We start from the raw sequence: 21,955 nt of genomic DNA on the forward strand, positions 1-21,955 counted from the left end.
TGGTTTTGACCAAGCCTAGCCAAAGAAGCTACTCAAATGTCAAAGGCATTGTTTGTATAAAAAGGGAACCAAAGTACAGGTTCCCTTTACAGTAGAAATAAGAGAACTCCCTGTTGACAAAGGGAGGAGGAAGAAAATATAAAGTACACTTTTAAAACATGAAGTCTTCATAGCAGCTTATAGTCGTTCAGAGAAACATGTTCCACTGAGAATGACTTGAGAGAGAGGATTACATCATTATGCCAGAAGGAAGAAGCCACTGTGCATGCTCTATCACCAGCCTCACCCTCCTGGTCAGCCTTACAAGAGTGACACTGGATATACTCCAGAAGTTGGACCCACCACAGCCTGCACACTGGAGTAAGTGCTTTCCTCCAGTTGAAGCTCATCTTAGAATGATCTGTGACTTAGACCATCCCCAGAATGGTGTAGTTGCAGGAAGCCTAACGTATGTCTCCTGAGACAGCCTCAGATCTGAGTTTCCTCCTTATGTTTTGGTATTTGGAAAGGGGTGGAGAAGATACTCTTGGGTAGAAGTATGGGAGGCATACAGATTCAGAAGAAAAAGGATAACTCTATCTTTAGTGTGTTGTCTGTGGTGGCATCTAGCCTTACCACTGTATACTTACATTCCACCTACAAACATTAAAATAAAATGCACAGTGCACTCCTTTGTTTTAAAAAGGAACTAGGAAAAAACTCAAATGGCAATTTGGTTCCAGATTTTTTTTTTAATGTGATCTTTGATCTGAAGTCAATGTAGGATGAGTTCTGAACAAAGTAGCACTTTCAAAGGTTGTATATTAAAGAGGTGAAATGAAAGACAACTTGGCACTTGAGATATGAATTTGAATGTGTATATGGTTACAGTCTGGATAAGACACTGCTAACATGACTTCATTAACTGATCGCCTATGTGGGACCATTGGACAAGGAGAGGGGGTGTTCTGGCTGTGGTGCCATATACTGAAACTGAACCCATGAGTTGGGCCCACAGGAATTGAGGGACAAGCCAGATAGATGGCAAGAATTCTAATTTCCAATATGCAAATCAGTCTAAACATTTGACTTTTTTTAAGTCTATTTGGAAAGTTTTTGAAACACGGCTGCACTAGGCGAGTTCATTAAGTAGCAAAATTTTAACTATTGTTATAACTTTTTCTTTGCCCTTTTCAGTTAACACTGCATGACCACCCAGGTGCATGAGGCTCTCTTCTCCTCTTAGTGACAATAACAGGCTCACAGGAAGGGTTCAGTATTAATTATTTATACCTTACTTCATGTGGCTCTAAGTCAATGTATTGTCTATGAGGTTTTATATTTAAGCCATACTTATGAAATGCTAAAGAGGAAAAAGCATATTTAGCACATTTGGGGCACCCTAAATGTGAACCTGAGTAAATTTCAGTTTGTTTGTTTGTTTGTTTTTGTTTGTTTTGAGACGGAGTCTCACGCTGTTACCCAGGCTGGAGGGCAATGGCGCGATCTTGGCTCACACGCAACTTGGCCTCCCAGATTCAAGAGATTCTGTCTTAGCTTACCAAGTTGCTGGGATTACAGGTGCCCACCACCATGCCTGGCTAATTTTTTGTATTTTTAGTAGAGATGGGGTTTCACGATGTTGGCCAGGCTAGTCTCAAACTTCTGACCTCAAGTGATCCGCCCGCTTTGGCCTCCCAAAGTGGGTTTGTTGTTCTTTTAAAGAAAAAAGACCACTACTTATTTTAAAGGGTGATAGCAGTGTCCTGACTCTACCTAGACAGATATGTTCATTCATGTGCTCATTCCAGTTGAACCATAATAACTGCAATTTTCAAAGGAGGAATACAGAGTCTGGGAAATCAGAAGAGTATAGCAACAAACTGGTATACGAGGAAACTGAAAATGAAAAATCAGCAAAGTGGTATTTGTACCTGCCTGAGTGGCTACAGTGGTGAAGGTGAAGGGTGGCAGGCTAGATTAGCACCATCTCCTCCCCTCCTCGCCTGCGGCCTCAGTACTTTCCACTGTGGTCCCAGGATACGCCAGGTCAACTGTGATCAACTCTGACACAGACAAACTCTGGGAGGGGAGGAGGCATCCTTTCCTATTCTCAGCGGTCTCAGTTCCAGAGACCACTTTAGTAAGCTCTCCTTGTCATACCTTAAAACATAAATTAAGACCCATAAGTAATTCCAAAACCTCATTTTATTATGTTGTTTTTATCTCCTTGCTCGCCCATCTTAAAAAAAATGGTAACACCAATCTCAGAGACTGATTTCTCCTACTTATTCTCTTAGGAGGGAAGGAGTGTTAAATAAGCCAAGGCATGCTAACAGGAAGGAAAAAATGGAGATTATGAAGAATAATCACAATTTGAAAACTATTAAAACCACGCACCAGGCAGTTTACAAAATATTTATTTCTTTGTTATATTATTTCTGCTGCTGAATTTGGTCAAGAGATTGTACTAATCATAAAATGAATGTTATTGATCATTTTAAAGTCTCTTCTAAAAGTAGCTAAATTTATACTGCTGATTCCTTTTGAAACATGCGACCTACAGCTTCTTGGCTTTTATGAGCTATTCAAGAGATATTTAGTCATCACGTTGTGTCACAATGGGAGTGACTCACAGAGCAAGGAGAGAACCTGAGGATTCCTCACACATGTAGTACTCAGAGCTCTACGGAAACCCAGGCACCTCGACCTCAAGAGGATCAGCCTGGCCAGGGTGGCACAACTCTTCCTTCCCCGTGCACAGCAGGAAAGCTGCCATCAGCTGAGCAAGTCCACCAACAGTTTCTGTGTCCCACTTCATCTTTAATAAGGTAACTGATGACAGTTTTGTCATTTATTCTTTTATTTATCAAGTCAATCTAAACTTTCTTTGATTTTCCTCACTCTTGCAGAATGAATCGGTGGTCTTTCAAGCTGTGGTCAATGTTGCTACTTCTTTTAATGTAACACATTAGAACCCAGTGATGGGAGCTGGGTCCATCTCACCATAGAAATGACCTCGGTGTGACCTGGGATCTTGCCTTGAACTCCTCCAGGACTCTCTTTGAATGTCCTTTAGCACCCTAGTGTCCCAATTCAATTCATATTTTATTTTCTCTGTGCCTTCTTGACACTATCTGTGAATCTTATGATTAATTGGAAACTGGAGGGGGAAGTCTCCAAAAAGCACAGGATTCTTAGATGAGTTTCTTACTGAAGCAGCAGATTCTCTGTCAACTGCAGGTCTGATCTGTTTGTCTGTCCGCTTTATCAATATTATCAGATGTAAGTTTACATGAATACACACACATATTCACTAAACTGAGGGGAAAAAATGCCTTGTAGGTCATAAAAAAGCAGGGAAATTCCCAACAATTCATATTTGATCCCTGGATCCAGGGGTGGCAGCAATAAGCCTGCTTTAGATATTTACTCCCCATTTTATGATCCGGTGGTTTGGTTTTTCAAATGATGATATGGCTCCTTTCGCAATGACTTGATGTTTAGGAGGTGTGCTTCAATAAATACATTTTAAAATCAACAATCAAGTTAGAGTTGTACAAATGGCTCTGAAATGTCCCACTACACTGTTAGACCAAGGGCACAGATTGTGCTTCTGTACTATTTATCCTAGTATCCCTCGGCATATATTAACTGCTCTAAAAATCTCCTTGGCTACACGCTGCATCAAATCAAAGTTAAATGTTATACCACCTTTCTATTCTATTTTTAATATTCAAAGAGGGTGCTCAGATTTTAGAACAAATTTCAATGTTTAAGTACACACAAAAAAATCATTAACTCATATATTTCAAGAGTAGGAAATGGGAACTGGTGTTAAAACTCTTATAACAAATGTCACTGTCTTAAGGGACAGTGTTTAAAAACGCATACCTGGCCGGGCGCGGTGGCTCATGCCTGTAATCCCAGCACTTTGGGAGGCCGAGGCCGGCGGATCACAAGGTCAGGAGATCGAGACCATCCTGGCTAACACGGTGAAACCTGGTCTCTACTAAAAATACAAAAAATTAGCTAGGCGTGGCAGCGTGCGCCTGTAGTCCCAGCTACTTGGGAGGCTGAGGCAGGAGAATGGTGTGAACCCGGGAGGTGGAGCTTGCAGTGAGCTGAGATCACGCCACTGCACTCCAGCCTGGGCGACAGAGCGAGACTCCGTCTCAAAAAAAAAAAACAACAACAACAAAAAACTCAGACCTTTTCTTCTGCTCAAAGATCACTGTGGCTGAAATATACTGAAGTTTTAAACACACTTTTGGAACCTATACATATGTTCTATGTTCTAAGCTTTCCTTAAAGCCTTGTGACTACAAATGATAACTGTACACAACATATAATCTTTCCCAGATAGCAATTGTTATGCAGTGACCATAAATAAAGTAATCATAGCTTTAACAATAATTTGTAACCTGCTAATACTGTCAGGAAACATTGTCAAAATAATAAACCTAGGAGGGACTTGGGATAATTAATGAATAGTTAGGGATGTGATGGTGAATTATAATTTAAACGTTTTGAAGGAAGGCAAAAGAAAATCAGAGATGCTTTTATCCTTAGAACTAAAAATGCAAAATGTAAATCCAGCAGATCTTCCCTATTTGAGGCAGTTGGTACACCTCTGCTAGGAGGGAGGGAAGCTACATCCTGAGGAGGCTGTCTGAGTGAATCTGTAGTGGAAGTACACACGAACTCCATGCCTCGCTGTCCCAGTACCCAAAGCACAGTCTGGCTGCCAAGGATTACCTCCTGCCCTCAGGGAAGCAGGAATCAAGGGCAAATGTAACTAACCAGAGGAGGAGCTTCTTCATCCATTGAGTAAGGGAACTTACCCTCCCACGACGATAAATACCAACTCAACTATATCATCAGCAGCATAATAATTATTATAATTGTTATTTCAGTCAGACTCTCAAAAAAGCATTCGTTGCTTAATGCAAGCACATTTAATGTAGGGTCCCTTGGTGCCATTAAAAAATTTTTTTTTCAGATTTCTGGGTGGACCATTTGAACACATTTCTCACAGAAACATAATTTTTTAGTTTATGTCAATAGGTTCCAGTGTTCATTTTTTTTTAAGTGTGGAAGAAATCTCTAAAAGCCACCTGGGTTTTTTTTTTTTTTTTAAACAAAACAAAACAAAAACCAGTTTTTTTTTACTTCAATGAAAAGGAAAAAATGAAAAAGGAATGTTGTGTTAAGTCAACCGGGTTTACAATATTCAAATATACAAGAGGCATACATGTTCAGTGGCTTTCAGTATTCAGAAAGCCATGCAAGAGAACTCCAAAAAGAGAATACTTTAGAAAATCATTGCTCAATGTTTTCTATTTGATGTATTTTGGTAAACAACATAGTTGTTGATTCAACTTGGGCCACAATTGCAACACATTGGAAGTAAATAAAGATTCTACAAACTCCTGACAGTGTGGTTGACTAGCTTTGGTATCGCTTTCTAAAAGGAAACACTTCATGAAGTTATGTGGAAATAAAATCAACTGGTCTGGGAGGAACTATCTAGAAAGAACTCTACATTGCTTATAAAAAGTATACCTCACAATAATATTGAGATATTTTCTGTTCTTTTTTTTAAACTGTGTCATTTATTTTTAAGAAACAGAGGAAGGTGAATAAGAGAAGTGAAATTAAATAATCCTATTTTAACTTTTTTACTAGGAAAACAAACTCAGGAAGAAAAAGAAAAGCAGAAGTGATCAAGGAGAGCGCTCGAGTTGCAATATTTTCCTTTGGCTGCTGACAGGCAGTTACTATAAAGCATTGTGCATGGTGTATGAAAGACAAAACTAGTTCTCCTTTCTTGGTTTCTTTTGAATCTTTGTGATATGGTAGAGAAAGTTTGATAAAGTGTTCTTGTGCCTGCTGTCGACTGATAATGTGTTCATCTCTTTGCAGTTCTTCCTTCTCTTTCACACAGTTTAGAGTTCAGAGAGTTTTAGTTCTGGTCACTCTCTGGCAAGTGACCATAGTTATGACCTCTACTCTACACCAGAAATATCTTGACAATTACATGAGATAAATATTACATAAACACTTCCCAAAACTTTGTAATGTTATCAAAATTGGAAGTGTGAATATTATGTATTATTATAATTGCTATCATCCTTTTGCCCCAGCGATTCAGAGGTCTCAAAGATTAATCCAATTATCACTAGAACTCTGGAGCTACAGTGGAGACTTCCTTCTTTCCTTCCTTTTTTCCTTCTTTGCTGTACAACATTTACTAAACATCAACATAATGCCAAGTATCATACAAGGAACTGGTAATGTAGAGAAGTATATGCAGAGCCCAGAGTTGAGTGGGAATACAGACTGCAGTGGTAGAACAGAATGGTCTGGGTATCAGTCCCGGAATTGCCACTACAACTGTAGCTGGAGCCAATTAAACAGAGCTTCTGAATGTGTTTCCTCCTCTATACAGTGAAGATAATTTTGTCGTAAGGTGTAAATAAGATAAATATTTATAGATCCTAGGAAACGGCCTACAACATGTTAGGCACTCAATGAACCATAGCAGTTATTATCATTCCTCCCTGACTTGGTCAACCAGGAACTTGAGAATCATAGATTTGCTAGGAGGATATTTTGAATTCTGTAGGGTCAGTTGGCCACCCACCAAAGGGTACCCCCAGAGGAGCTGGGGGTCAACAGCATGGGGTAAACCTTGAGGGAGGGAACAGATGGGAGGTGATTGGATGAAGAGATTTGGGTGAGGACACAGAGCCAAACCATATCAGCCTCTTATCCTCCTGATGACAAAAAGACATTTTAAAATATTTATATAGAGGGAAATTAATGCTTGCAGCAGCAGGATATGAGTAATTTTTATAAGTAACCCAACTTTTCCATGAGGCCATTAAAAAAAGAAACTCATCAATGTGATACTACCAAGGAACCAATGACTAAGTTTCCAGAAAAGTAGTTCTAGTGCTATGATATTCTGGACTCCCAACACTAGGAAGTTCTAGAACAGTGGTTCTAAACTGGGGGATATTTTGTCCTCCAGGGGACATTTGGCATTATCTGGAGACATTTTTGGTTTTCACAACTTGGGGAGGGGTGCTACTGCTGACTAGAGAGTAGAGGCCAGAGATGCCACTAAACATGCTAAATGCACAGGACTGACCCCACAACAAATAATTACCTGGCCCAAAATATCAAAATTACTCAGTTAGAGGAATCAATGCCTAAATATGAGCAATACATAGAGCAGACTGCCTCATAAAGTGAAAGTGATTCACCCTGCCATGAAGATAACAAAGTTCTTACTGTAACGGCAGACATTAGGTCACTTCACCCAGTACTCTCCAAGGTAGATGTTGTATTTCTACTTTACAGGTAGGAAAATGGAGGCTAAGAAAAGTTAATTTGTCCGAGGGCCCTCTGATGATAGTGAAACTGGGATGGAACCTCTGCCTGCTTGCTTCTGAGGTCTGGGCTCCTAACTACTGCTCTACTGCCTCGAGCCAAGAGATTTACGCCCTATTAAGCAATTTGTTGTGCGATAAATTGGAAGACACAGCAGATAAGCAAACAACTCAAGCAACCAGGTCAGTTCCTGGAGTTTCTGAATTGTTGGGACCAAGGGGCCGTGCAGAGGTAACCACAGCTGGCGTAGTGTGGTTGAGGTAGCCCTATTAGCCTTTTAGTTGCTGTTACTAATTTATTTCTCAGTGGTCAATGAACCAATTGGCCATCAATCAGCTTTGTGTATAGGTCATGTTCCCATGGCTCTGACCCAGGTTGCTGCTCAGAGTTGGCATCGTGGCTAAAATATTACTAGAGGTCAAAGATATGTGTGTGTTTGTGGTTGATTTAGTCGAGTGATCTAGAGGAATCTGAACCAGCATTTCTGGGCAATAATACTTGAGTTAAGGAGAGTGTAGCAAAACTCTAGGTTAGCATTGGCAGTCCCTAGGATTCAGACTGTAGGCCTAAATGACCCTCAGTCCAGAGCTGTACCTAATGAGGACAATACATTTTAATGTGAGTCCATTCTTAACAGCAAAATTTCCTCTTTGCTTGTCACCAGGGAAAAATGGGTTTGCATAGAAAAGGTGGAGATTGAGGGGGAAGCAGAATGGACAAGGAGTAAAGAGGGAATCCAACTACTTAGATTTGAGCTTTCGTTCTTCTTTGGTAGTTGTAGAGGTGAGCTTACCAAAGCATAGATGACAGGCAATGTGGTATACAAGTTACTACACTCCAAAAGTCTGGGGTTCTTACTTATTTTGTGCATGACATCCAAAGTAGCCTAATAAAATCTTTTCACAGAAAAAAAAGCTTTACTTTCCTTTGCCAAATTTTTAACTTTTTATTCTGAAATAATTTCAGAATTATTGAAAAATTTAGAGACTAGGACAACCCAGATTCCTCAAATATTAACACTTTACCACATCTGCCTTCTCATTCCTCTCTATATACATAGGTGCATGTGTGGTTTTAATGTTTATTTATATACATATCATTATTATTTTCTTAACTGTTTGAGAGTAAGTTGAAGACATGATGCTCCTTACTCTTTAAATACTTCAGTGTGTATTTCCTAAAAAGCAGGCCATGTTCTACATCATCACAGTATAATTATCAAAATTGGGAAATTAATATTAATGCAATACTATTTATCAAATTTTAAGATCTTATTCAAATTTCACTTGCTGGCCTAATAATGTTCTTTCTGAAAAAAGAAAAAAAAATTTTGATCCAGGATCACATATTGCATTTGGTTGTTGTATCTCGTTGGTCTCCTTTGATCTGAAATGGTCCTCAGTATTTCTTTTACTTCATGACTTTGATGTTTTTGAAGAGTACAGCCATATATTTAGAAGCACTGGAAGATGTTTCCCCATGCATAATTAGCTTTGGATGCTCCACAGAAGAGCTGTTGTGTCCTTCCCTGTGTGCCATCTCAGGGGGCATGCGATGTTGGTTTGTTCCATAACTAGTGATGTGAATCCTTATCACTTGGTTAAGGTGGTATCCGTCAGATTTCTCCACTATAAAATTACCATTATTCTCTCTTTAATTTGAAAGTATATGACAGGGAGATTCTTTGAGATTCTATAATGACTGTCTGTCATCGGAATTTGACCCACTAGTTTTAGCATCCATTGATCATTCCTGCCTGAAACCATTGTTGCTATGTCAGTTGCCAAATGGTGATATTCTAATTCCATCATTCGTCTGACACTTATTAGATGGCATATTAATTCTAAGGAAAAATTTCCATTTATCCTTATTTATTGATTGATTTACTTCAGAATGGATTCATGAATTCATATCTGATTTAATGAGTTATTACCCATTATCACTATTGGCTTTGATGCTCAAATTGTCTCTTACTTCGCCAGTGGGAGCCCCTTCCAGCTGACATCTATGTACTAGTGATGTATCTCCAGCATTCGTTGAGCACTTACTTACTTGTAGCATAAGATGCTCCAGGCTTATTTTGTACATTCGCCTCCAAGCTCAGCCCTGATGTTAGCTTTTCCAAAGAACATGAACACAATGTTTAGAAATTGGTTTCTGAGCCCTTGGTATGTTCATTGTTGTTGGAGTGTCATTGTTTCTAGCTCATCGGGTAGATCTAGAAAGTTACCTATCCATTTTTGTATTTACTGACTCATATTAAAAACCAGGAGTTCATACTGATTCTTCCAACTATAATCCCACTCCACAGAGTTCATTCCAGCCTCTCCTTTTTCATATTTGCTACTCCTCCTTCTGACAGTGTGAAGCCTGGCTTCCATCATCCACAGCTTAGTTACAGTTGACCCTTAAACAACACAGGGATTGGGGCGCCAGTGCCCCATTCAGTCGAAAATTCATGTATAACTTTTGACTCCCTCAAAACTTAACTCACAGCCTACTGTTGACCAGAAGCCTTACCAAAAACATAGTCAATTAACACATATTTTGTATATGTATTATATACTGTACTCTTATAAACTAGAGAAAAGAAAATATTATTAAGAAAAGCATAAGGAAGATAAAATATACTTACTGTTTTTTAAGTGGAAGTGGATCATCATAATGGTCTTCACCCTTACCATCTTCATGTTGAGTAGGCTGAGGAGGAAAAAAGAAGAGAGGTTGGTCTTATTGTTTCAGGGGTGGCAGAGGCTGAAGAAAATAAGACATAAGTGGATCCAGGCAGTTTGGATCCAATATGGGATCCAACAGCCCACGTTGTTCAGATGTCAGCTGTGCTTATTTTCTCAATCAAATAATTTGAAATAATAGGGTTGTCTGTTTTCTAGCTCTGGTGGAGGCTTGGATTTTATGTGATTCTATTTGTTCTTCTCTTTGAATTGTGCATAGTTTTTGGAGTACGTCCTAGGAAATTTGGATTGACATGACTGTCACTACTACAGCTACCTCAGAAGTGAGAATAACTTTTTTAACACTTGAAGTGAAATACATAGTATTACAAAAGAAAACTACTGTATTGAAATACATCCAAATATTTATAAGTTTATTTTATTAACATGGTGGCAGGAACAATAACCACCATAATTTTGAAGTAGTAATCAGCATTAATCATATTTTGAGATAATTCCAACAAATGCAATGTAACATGAAAATATTTATTATTTCTATTGGTAACAAAATCACAGGCAATACAAATACTACTGCGGTTTGTTGTTTCTTCCGTAATTGAAGATTGTGCTAAACTTCAATTACAGTTCAGGAAAAAAAAAAAGATGGGATCTTTTTCCCATCCAAATGTAGAAACCCCTGAATTCTATCCACAGACTCTCTCAAAGTTCTAATGGCACCCTTTTGTCTGAGAAGCTTTCATAGATGCCCAAATCATCCATCCAACTGAATTCAATCCCTTAGGGGCTGGTAACCCAGTTTCATGCACAGGAACATGCATGAAACATACCCTCCTTGTGGCTTCCCTTCCCCCATTCCCTCATCTACTTTCCCCTCTGGGACCTTGTGTCAGTTATTATACTATAACAGAGGAGGTTATGAGGGGAGATGACTCTGTAGCCACAACTATTTCAGATGTCAGATGTTGCTTTTGGCCAGTGGACTTTTATCCCTGCCTCTCAGCAATCATGGACAAGATGTGAAGTGTCGACCTTATCAACTCAGCTTGTCAGCTTGGACACTTCTCAGCCCAGCCCAGAGTGGAGTGCTCCAGTCCCCAGAGCCCCTCATCTGTCTCCTATAGTGGAAGGACACAGCACTCTAGTCCCAGTGACCTTGGCAAATCACTTTGTTGCTTTGAGCCAGTTTCTAAGGCAAATAATATGCCCTCTCTAACTCAAAACGCTATTGAGAGGACAAAATGAGACCTGTGTGTGAAAGCACAGCATAGAGTGCCTTACTAATGTATGACATTATTTTACTGTGACTCCCTCGTGCATGCCCCTGGTAAAAATGACAACACAAAAACTTCCAACTCTCTGCTCTAGAGAACATAAAACCCCACAAATATTTGTCTTCTTCAAATAATTCCCCTGGGAGTTTAGACTGCAATGAAAGCTGCAGAATCCATTCAGAAAATATATTAAACATTTCGCCTTTCGGTGATTATTTACTGAAGCCAGATTTGAGCAAAACGCTATATTAGTTGAATTTGTAGATACAAAATTTCCTTAAAAGGTTTAAACATGTAATTTTGCAAGAGTTAGTTATACCACTTCCCCTCCCATAATTATACATTTATAATGTATTTGAGAACGGGAAATCTTGCTACATGGACATTGATTTGCAACAAATTATAACTCTTACACAGAAAAGAGTTGGAAAAACTATACCAAATTATTAAGCCATGGTAATCTAAAAAGTTGACTACTTCAGAAATAGCTGTAGCTATACCACAAGAATCAAGTAGGTTCTCCAAACATATTTTTATATTCCTCTGACTTAATTTTTATCAACTGACTTTTTTTTTTTTTTTTTTTTTTTTTTGTGACAGAGTCTTGCACTGTCGCCAGGGCTGGAGTGCAATGGCATGATCTCGGCTCACTACAACCTCCACCTTCTGGGTTCACGATTCTCCTGCCTGATTCTCCTGCCTGATTCTCCAGCCCTAGCCTCCTGAGTAGCTGGGATTACAGGCACCCTCCACCACACCCAGCTAATTTTTTGTATTTTTAGTAGAGATGGGGTTTCACTATGTTGGCCAGACTGGTCTCAAACTCCAGACCTTGTGATCTGCCCCCCTCTGCCTCCCAAAGTGCTGGGATTACAGGAGTGAGCCACCAGGCCCGGCTGAACTGACAATTCTTTTATCATTTTTTTTTTCTTTAGCTATAGATCTTCTGGGGGAAGAAAGATAAAAGCAGAGCCCGAAATTTTCTTGAGAAGTGAAGAAGACATTACATTGATTTTTTTTAATCTGAAATAGTCTGTTTCTCAAACAGCAGTAAAAATAGTGTGTGTGTGTCTGTGTGTGTGGTGTTTAAAATTCTGTGTGTATGTTTATATTTCTTGATCTAGAAAGAAAACTTTACAAATACAGAAGAAAATGGGGAAAATGCACTAAAATATTGAATCAAGTGTTATAATCATTACTATCTTCTTTTTTTCTATGTTTTTTCTTGAGGATAAATTACTTTTACAAGCAGAAAAAAATAAATGATTTTTGAAAAGGATTCGAAGGAAAAATTAGGAAATAATTGTAAGAAAATAAAGTCCAGGCTGGGCGTGGTGGCTCACGCCTGTAATCCCCGCACTTTGGGAGGCCGAGGCAGGTGGATCACCTGAGGCCAGGAGTTCAAGACAAGCCTGGCCAACATGGAGAAACCCCACCTCTACTAAAAATACAAAAATTAGCCGGGTGCCTGTAATGGTGGCAGGTGCTTGTAATCCCAGCTACTCAGGAAGCTGAGGCATGAAAATCTCTTGAACCCAGGAGGTGGAGGTTGCAATGAGCCGAGATTGCACCACTGCACTCCAGCCTGGGCGACAACAGCGAAATTCCATCTGAAAGAAAGAAAGAAAGAAAGAAAGAGAGAGAGAGAGGGAGGGAGGGAGGGAGGGAGGGGGAGAGAGAGAGAGAGAGAGAGAGAGAGAGAGAGAGAGAGAGAGAGAGAGAGAGAGAGAGAGAGAGAAAGAAAGAAAGAAAGAAAGAAAGAAAGAAAGAAAGAAAGAAAGAAAGAAAGAAAGAAAGAAAGAAAATAAAGTCCAAAGTCTATAAACTCGCTTGGCCTCTCAGTTCCTTTTTGAACTCAGTGTCCAGGAACAGCCATGATTCCAAAAGCACCCACAAGTTCTGAACTTCAACTCAGGGCCTATTGATTGTCCTCTGTGAGGCATTTTAAAGCCCCTCTGGAGTCTCAGGGTGGGTCAAGATTAAGGGCAAAGATATTGCGTGGACACAGGAGGAAGCTTTTTGGGTCATGGAGGAAGAAAATAAGGTCTTTCCCACATGTGGTTCTCTCTTTAGCCCCTCTCCCTTCCACAGGCTCAGAGAGCCAACACAGACCTGCTCCTCTGTGGGGAGGGAGCTGATGATCTCATTCTCTTGGGCTGCCCCATCACTGAGTGTGGAGGGCTGGGCCCATGGTACTCAGACCTGAGGCAGCTGGCCATACAGCCTTGGCACCCAGGCATAAACCTCAGGTTCTTGTTCACTTCCTCTTTCTGGATGGCTTGCTTTTCTCTGGCACCAGTACCCCATGGTAAGAGTAATATATGCTGAGGGGAAACGCAGATGCAGGCTTCTGAAGAAAAAGGAAAGAAAGCCCTCTACCTGCCTGATTTTAGGCCCTAGGCTACCTCTAGCCCTGACAAAATTAATTTTCCAAGTAGTTCTGCTGCACATATGGTCAAAGCTTCCGTTTTACAGCATACATTTGCTTGGCTTTATCCTTTGTCCATGTGATTTTTTTCTCACAGGAGACTGGTGTTCACAGAAGACAGAATTTGGGGATGTGGGAGTCTGGTTTGGGACATGGTGCATTGGCCAGCATTTCCCTCTCAGTCACTTCCCATTTATCTTGCCCTTTCTTGGTGAACTCACTTGTTGCCTCCCACTTTAATACTCATCTGCATTGGGGTGTAATGATCTCAGAGTTGGGTTGAAGATTGACATTAACCCATTTAAAATAAGAAAATGGAAGCCAAGTTGGGAATATCTTAGTGGCAACAAAAAATGCTCTTCTTCTCCTGACAGTTTGAAGATAATTGGGAGTCTGACAGAACAATTAAAATTGAATTATTGTTTCTAATAGATTTTAAGCCCATTCTGCAGTGGAATTTCATGAACTAGCAAGAGGTAAGATTTTACTGTGAGGGTCTGTCTTCCTGATAGACGAGTTCACTCCTGAGATTAATACCATCACTCCACATAGCTCCAGCTGGCCGTGGCAACTCAATGGCTTGTGTCAATTTTGCCATGGCTCCCCTCTCCCTCTCTTCCATTTAATTTCTCTGAATACTCCTTGGTTAGTTTTTGCATTACTTTAGAGGAACGATTTATCATTTAGATGGCCATCTTCCCAACAAACAACCAAATAAGAGTTATTGTTTCTTTAACTTTCTATTTATCCACACTAATGCATTAAAATATCTCAAATTCATCAGTCCTGGGTTATAATGCCTTGGTAGTTCTAATTTGAATTTTCTTTTTCACTTTGAACACTCAGGACACCATCTTCTTGTATTATACAAGAAAGGAGTGTACCTATCACACACAGGGGGAAAAATGCTCTTTTGGGTGCTAGGCCTCCTAATCCTCTGTGGTTTTCTGTGGACTCGTAAAGGAAAACTAAAGATTGAAGACATCACTGATAAGTACATTTTTATCACTGGATGTGACTCGGGCTTTGGAAACTTGGCAGCCAGAACTTTTGATAAAAAGGGATTTCATGTAATCGCTGCCTGTCTGACTGAATCAGGATCAACAGCTTTAAAGGCAGAAACCTCAGAGAGACTTCGTACTGTGCTTCTGGATGTGACCGACCCAGAGAATGTCAAGAGGACTGCCCAGTGGGTGAAGAACCAAGTTGGGGAGAAAGGTGAGAGACATGGAAGTGGGTAGGATGGGACAGGGATAGGGGATAGGGAGGTAACCAAAGCTAAATAAAACATGCTCAAGTTTTAAATGGCCTTTCGAGAAAATGTTTCCTAAATACCGGCTGTGTACTTCTCTAATCTTAGGATAGCTTCTGAGTAGTTCCAAGTACAGGCTGTCTGTGTGCATGAGAAACACAGCCCAGAAGACCCTTGGGCCTAAGTCTCAGTGGGTGAATTCAGGGCTGAGATGAAAGTATTGACTTTCCATGGTCTTCTCCTGTAAAGGGCTATTCTCCCCTGCCCCATATACAGCAAAGGAATTTAGACTAAAATGTACAGGAGAATATGGGGGCAATTCCCAAATTGCCATCTGGATACCTGGCACCCACTTCTCCCTGCAAAATGATTCTAAAGCTCACACATTTTCAATGGGCAAGGTTGAAAATGGCCTGAGAATTTGAGTATGAGTGTCTTACATAGTTAAGGTAGAGTAGTGAGCCTTTGGATGTCCATTCTGCAATAGATTCTGCTATGGTGACTGTATTCTGAACTAGAAGAATTTTTATTGGCTTTGAATGAAGTGTGAAACATTCTCATGGATTAAGATGTTAGGATTCACAAAGGAAAAAACAAATGTTTGCGATTTTTTTTCTAGCACATCTTGATCATGTAGCTGAGACTCTGAAGCTCAAAAGCAATGATTTGATAAGGCTTCGATTTTTAACACTTGAATTCCAACACCTTTAAAAATACTAAATGTTTCCCATTTTAAACAAGCCAAGTGAATGACTGAATTCTTAACCAAAAATAAATGTGAAGTAGATTGATATCACTCTTTGTCCATACAGAACATTATATAAATATTCTCTGGCCTTACTATCTAGCAAGGCAGGAAAAATAGATCAATTTGTTCTCACTCATAGGTGGGAATTGAACAATGAGAACACATGGACACAGGAAGGGGAACATCACACATCGGGGCCTGTTGTGGGGTGGGGGGAGGGGGGAGGGATAGCATTAGGAGATATATCTAACGTTAAATGACGTGTTAATGGGAGCAGCACACCAACATGGCACATGTATACATATGTAACAAACTGCATGTTGTGCACATGTACCCTAAAACTTAAAGTATAATAAGAAAAATAGATCAATTTACTCTACATCTGAGATTAAAAAGCAGAAAGACTCACTCACAGAGTTTCAGTATTTGACATTCAGAACCAGAAATAGAGTAACAGCGAGAACTTGAACTATTTCAGTTTAGCCTCCCACCCTCTCTGCTATCACTTCCCAAAACTGCGAAGTATTTCAGAGTAGGAAAATGACTTCAAGGAGGAAATGGCACCATTGTGCAAAGCAGGGGCTGTATTTTCATCAAAGGTGGCAAATAAGTACTGTCTTACCACACCTCTTTTCCTTCCTCTCTGTTCTAGGTCTCTGGGGTCTGATCAATAATGCTGGTGTTCCCGGCGTGCTGGCTCCCACTGACTGGCTGACACTAGAGGACTACAGAGAACCTATTGAAGTGAACCTGTTTGGACTCATCAGTGTGACACTAAATATGCTTCCTTTGGTCAAGAAAGCTCAAGGGAGAGTTATTAATGTCTCCAGTGTTGGAGGTCGCCTTGCAATCGTTGGAGGGGGCTATACTCCATCCAAATATGCAGTGGAAGGTTTCAATGACAGCTTAAGGTAAATCAAATTAATCAACTTATTAGGAAACAATAGCTGCAAACGTTTACTGAATGCTTATGTACAAGACATCCTATTTAGTACCTTTCAAAAAGTCTACCATATTTATCTCTAATTTTTGTGGGTACATAGTAGGTATATATATTTATGGTTATATGAGATATTTTGATATAAGTATACAATGCATAGTAATTACATCAAGGTAAGTGGAGTATCCATCACCTCAAGCATTTATCCTTTCTTTGTGTTACAAAAAATCCAATTATACTCTTTGAGTTATTTTTAAATCTGTGATAAATTGTTGACTGTAGTCACCCTGTTGTGCTATCAAATACTAGATCTTATTCATTCCATCTAGTTATATTTCTATATTTCTGTACCCCCTAACCATTCCCTCTCACCCCCACTACCCTCTCAAGCATCTAGTAACTATCTCTCTACTTTCTGTCTCCATGAGTTTGTTTTAATTTTTAGCTCTCACAAATAAGTGAGAACATGGGAACTTCGTTTTTCTGTGCCTGGCTTGTTTTACTTAACATAATGACCACCAGTTCCATCCAAGTTGTTGCAAATGACAGGATCTCATTCTTTTTTATGGCTCAATAGTACTCCATTGTATATATATACTGCATTTTCCTTATTCATTTTTCTATTGATGGACATTTAGGTTGCTTCCAAATTTTAGCTGTTGTGAACAGTGCTACAACGAACATGATAGTGTAGATATCTCTTTGATATGTTTATTTCCTTTCTTTTGGGTATATACCCAGCAGCGGTATTGCTGGATCATATGGTAGCTCAATTTTTAGTTTTTTGAGAAACCTCCAAACTGTTTTCCATAGTGGTTGTACTAATTTACATTCCCACCAATAGTGTACGAGGATTCCCTTTTCTCACATCATCATCAGCATTTGTTATTGCCTGTCTTTTGTAAATATGCCATTTTAACTGGGGTAAGGTAATATTTCATTGTACTTTTGATTTGCATTTTTCTGATGATCAATGATGTTGAGCACCTTTCATATACCTATTTTCCACTTGTATGTCTTTTCAGAAATATCTACTCAGATCTTTTGCCCATTATAAATTGGATTATTAGACTTTTCCCCATAGAGTTAAGTTCCTTATATATTCTGATTTTTAATTCCTTGTCAGATGGGTAGCTTTCAAATATTTTCTCCCATTCTATGTGTTGTCTTTTCACTTTTTTGATTGTTTCCTTTGCTGTGCAGAAGCTTTTCAAATTGATGTAATCCCATTTGTCCATTTTTGCTTTAGTTGCCTGTGTTTGTGGCATATTACTCAAGAAATCTTTGCCCAGCTAATTGTCCTGGAGAGTTACTCCAATGTTTTCTTGTAGTAGTTTCAGAGTTTGAGGTCTTAGATTTAAGTCTTTAATCCATTTTGATATGATTTTTGTATATGGTAAGAGATTTTGTATATGCACAAGAGATTCTTCTGCATGTGGACATCCAGTTTTCCTAGCATCATTTATTGAAAAGACTATCCTTTCCCCAATACATGTTCTTGACACCTTTGTCAAAAACGAATCATTGTAGATGTATGGATTTGTTTCTGGGTTCTCTGTCCTGTTCCATTGGTCTATGTGTCCATTTTTATACCAGTACCATGCTGTTTTGTTTACTATAGCTTTATAGAAAATTTGAAGTCATGTAATGTGATTCCTCCAGTTTTGTATTTGTCCAGGGTGTCTTTGGCTACTCTGGGTCTTTTGTGTTTCTATATAAATTTTAGGATTGTTTTTTCTATTTCTGTAAAGAATGTCATTGGTATTTTGATAGGAATTGCATTGAATCTGTAGATTGCTATTGGTATTGTGCACATTTTAATAATACTGATTCTTCCAATCCATGAACATGGAATACCTTTCCACTTTTTGTATCCTCTTCAATTTCTTTTATCAATGTTTTATAGTTTTTATTGCAGAGAGCTCTCATTTCTTTAAGTTAACTCCTAGGCATTTTATTTTATTTTTAACTTGTAAATGGAATTAATTCCTTGATTTCTTTTTTGGATTGTTTGCTGTTGGCATACAGAAATTGTTTGCTGTTGGCAATAGAAATCTTTTTTGGATTGTTTGCTGTTAGCTACTGATTTTTGTATGTTGATTTTGTATCCTGCAACTTTACTGAATTTATTTGTTCTAATAGTTTTTATGTGTGTGGAGTCTTTAGGTTTTTCCAAATATAAGATCATATCATCTGCAAACAAGGATAATTTGACTTCCTCCTTTCCAAATTGGGTTGGAGCTCCATTGTATGTTATTTGTTTTTGAGGAATCTCCAAACAAATATTGCTGCTTTTAAGATCCTTTCTTTATACTTGACCTTTGGGAGCTTGATTAATAAATGCCTTGTGGTAGTCTTCTTTGGGTTAAATCTGCTTAGTGTTCTATAACTTTCTTGTACTTGGATATTGGTGTCTTCCTCTAGGTTTGGGAAGTTCTCTGTTGAATGAACTTTCTACCCCATCTCTCTCTCTCTCTCCCTCCTCTATAAAGCCAGTAACTCAGATTTGCCCTTTTGAGGCTATTTTTTAGATTCTGTAGCTATGCCTCATTCTTTTTTTTTTCTTTTGTCTCCTCTGACTGTGTGTTTTCAAATAGCCTGTCTTCAAGCTTACTAATTTTTTTATTTTGCTTGATCAATTCTGCTGGTAAGAGACTGACTCATTCTTTATTATGTGAATTGCATTTTTCAAATCCAGGATTCCTGCTTGATTCTTTTTAATTATTTGTCTCGTTGTCAAATTTATCTGATAGGATTCTGAATTCCTTCTTTGTGTTATCTTGAATTTCACTGAGTTTCCTCAAAACAGCTATTTTGAATTCTCTGTCTGAAAGGTCTCATGTCTCTGTCTCACCAGGATTGGTCTCTTGTGTCTTATTTCATTCATTTGGTGAGGTCCTGTTTTTCTGGGTGGTCTTGATGCTTGTGGATTTTTTTTTTTTATGTCTGTGCATTGAAGAGTTAGGTATTTATTGCAGTCTTCACAGTCTGGGCTTGTTTGTACTCATCCTTCTGGGGAAGTCTTTCCAGGTATTTGAAGGGACTTGGCTGTTGTGATCTAACTTTTTAGTTCCTGAAGCCATATCTTCATTAGGGGGCAACCCAAGCCCAGTAAGACCGTGCCTCTTGTAGGCTCATAGAGGTACCACCTTGATGGTCTTGGATAAGATCCAGAAGAATTATCTGGTTTACCAGGAAAAGACTCTTGTTCTCTTCCCTTACTTTCTCCCAAACAAGTGGAGCTTCTGTCTATATACTGAGCTGCCTAGAGCTGGTGGAAGAGTGACACAAGCACTCCTGACCACCATCATTGGGACTGCACTGAGTCAGACCCAAGGCCCTCTGTAATATTGCCTGGCTACTGCCTATGTTTACTCAAAGCCCTGAGGCTCTACAATTAGCAGGTGGTGAAGCCAGCCAATAAGACTTGTGTCCTTCCCTTCGGGGTGGCAAGTTCTCCCTACCCTTGGGTGAGGTGTCCAGAGATGCCATGTGGAAGCCAGGGGCTGGAGTCAGAAACTTTAGGAATCTACCTGGTAATCTATTCTACTGTGGTTGAGCCAGCATCCAAACCACAATACAAAGTCTTTCCCACTTTTCCCTCCCCTTTTCACAAGCAGAGGAGTCTCTCACCATAGCTACTACCACCTCAGGCCTGCGGGAAGTATTGCCTGGCTATGACCAATGTTTACTCAAAGCCCAAGGGCTCTTCAATCAGCTTGTGGTCAATGTTGTTAGGGTTGAGACTCTCATTTCAGGGCACTGGGCTCCCCTCTGGCCCAGGATAGGTTGAGAAATGCCATCTAAGAGCCAAGGCCTGGAATTGGAGACGCTAAGTGCCCACTTGGTGCTCTACCCCACTGTAGTCAAACCAAGCTGGCACCTAAGCTGCAAGACAACATCTCCTTTACTCTTCCGTCTCCTTTTCTGAAGCACAAGGAGTCTCCCCCTATAGCCATCATAGCTGGGAATGTCCTAGGTCACACCTGAGGCCAGCATGTCTCTGAGTCTCACCCAAGGCCCATGGTGAGTACCTTGGGTATTGCTCCTGATTTTTCAGGGCCCAAGGGCTCTTTAGTCAGCAGGTAATGAATTTTGCTAGGACTAATTTCTTCCCTTCAAGGCAGTGGGTTTCCTTCTGGCTCAGGACAAGTCTAGAAATGTTGTCCAGGAGGTAGGGCCTGGAATAGGGGCCTCAGGACTCTACCTGGTGCCCTATCCTACTGTGGCTAAGCTGTTATCCAAGTCACAAGACAAAGTCCTCTTTATTCTCCCCTTACCTCTCCTCAAGCAAAGGGAAGGAGTCTCTCCAAGAGCTGTGGGCTGCGCGGTCTGGGGCTGGGGGAGGGGTAGCACAAGCACTCTCCTGGCTGCCCAAGCTGGCATCTTACTAGGTTGCTTGCCCCCCAAGTCCACTGTCTCCGAGCACAGCACCAGGACTTGCCCAGGAATTGCAATCCTTGTGACCTGGACTGCCTTTGAAGTTTATTTAGAACCCCACAGCACGTTAGCCCACACTGTTGAGGCTTGCTGGCACTCAGGTTCCAGCTACTGAAATGGGCAATTCCTCCTCCGGCTAGGGCTGGTTTGAATGCTCCCTCTATGGGTGCTGGCTGAGTTCTGCCTGGTGTTGCTTTCCACTGTGACAGGGCAGCACTGAGTTCCAATGCAAAGTCCCACAATCACTGTGCTCTCCCTCCCACCCCAAGTACGCAGATTCTGCCTCCATGCCACAGAGTTGCTGCTGGTCTATGGAGGAGGAGTAGCATCAACAATTCAAGACTGTCTTTCCTACCCTCTTCAGGGCCTCTTTCAGTGATATGAAGTTAAAGTGATATAAAGTTAGGGACTGTGATCACTCATCTGATTTTTGGTTTTATGAAGGTTTTTTTGCATGAATAGTTGTTTAATTTGGTGTTCCTGTGGGGAGGATGATCAATGAAGGCTTCTATTTGGCCATCCTGCTCCACCTCTACCCTATTTAGTACTTTAAGTTATTCCCAGTGTATAGATGATGCCACTAAAACTAAAAGAGTTTAATTAATTTGCGCAAGGTCACCCAGCTGGTAAGTGGCAGAACTGAGATTTGAACCCAAGTTTAACTCCTTTTTACTTTTTGCCTTAATACATGATGCTCAGAGTGGCAGCGAATTTATATTCAACTGGTCAGTTTGTCAGATATTTAGGGAATCATATAGAAAGGCTAGATCAGAATAGGCTTCTCCATTGGTTTACTGTCAGTTGCA

At 39.9% G+C, this 21,955-nt stretch overlaps 1 protein-coding gene across 7 annotated transcripts in view; it reads left to right on the forward strand.

Annotated features, from left to right (window-relative positions):
- Window positions 1–169: 169 nt before the first annotated feature.
- Window positions 170–21,955, forward strand: part of DHRS9 (dehydrogenase/reductase 9) — a 29,091-nt gene continuing 7,305 nt past the window's right edge. Inside the window, exons 1-5 of one of the 7 annotated variants that reach the window (XM_047442839.1) lie at window positions 170–360; window positions 2,546–2,810; window positions 5,668–7,559; window positions 14,616–14,987; window positions 16,422–16,680. In XM_047442839.1, coding sequence (XP_047298795.1) covers window positions 14,675–14,987; window positions 16,422–16,680 — 572 coding nt within the window. In that variant the 5' untranslated portion in view covers window positions 170–360; window positions 2,546–2,810; window positions 5,668–7,559; window positions 14,616–14,674. Of the gene's footprint in view, window positions 361–2,545; window positions 2,811–5,667; window positions 7,560–14,199; window positions 14,246–14,615; window positions 14,988–16,421; window positions 16,681–21,955 lie in introns of those variants that run through there. The other 6 variants (XM_011510475.2, NM_199204.2, NM_001142270.2 and 3 more) reach the window with 6 other exon arrangements.

Source organism: Homo sapiens, chromosome 2, assembly GCF_000001405.40.
Source record: "Homo sapiens chromosome 2, GRCh38.p14 Primary Assembly".
Taxonomy (NCBI): domain Eukaryota; kingdom Metazoa; phylum Chordata; class Mammalia; order Primates; family Hominidae; genus Homo; species Homo sapiens.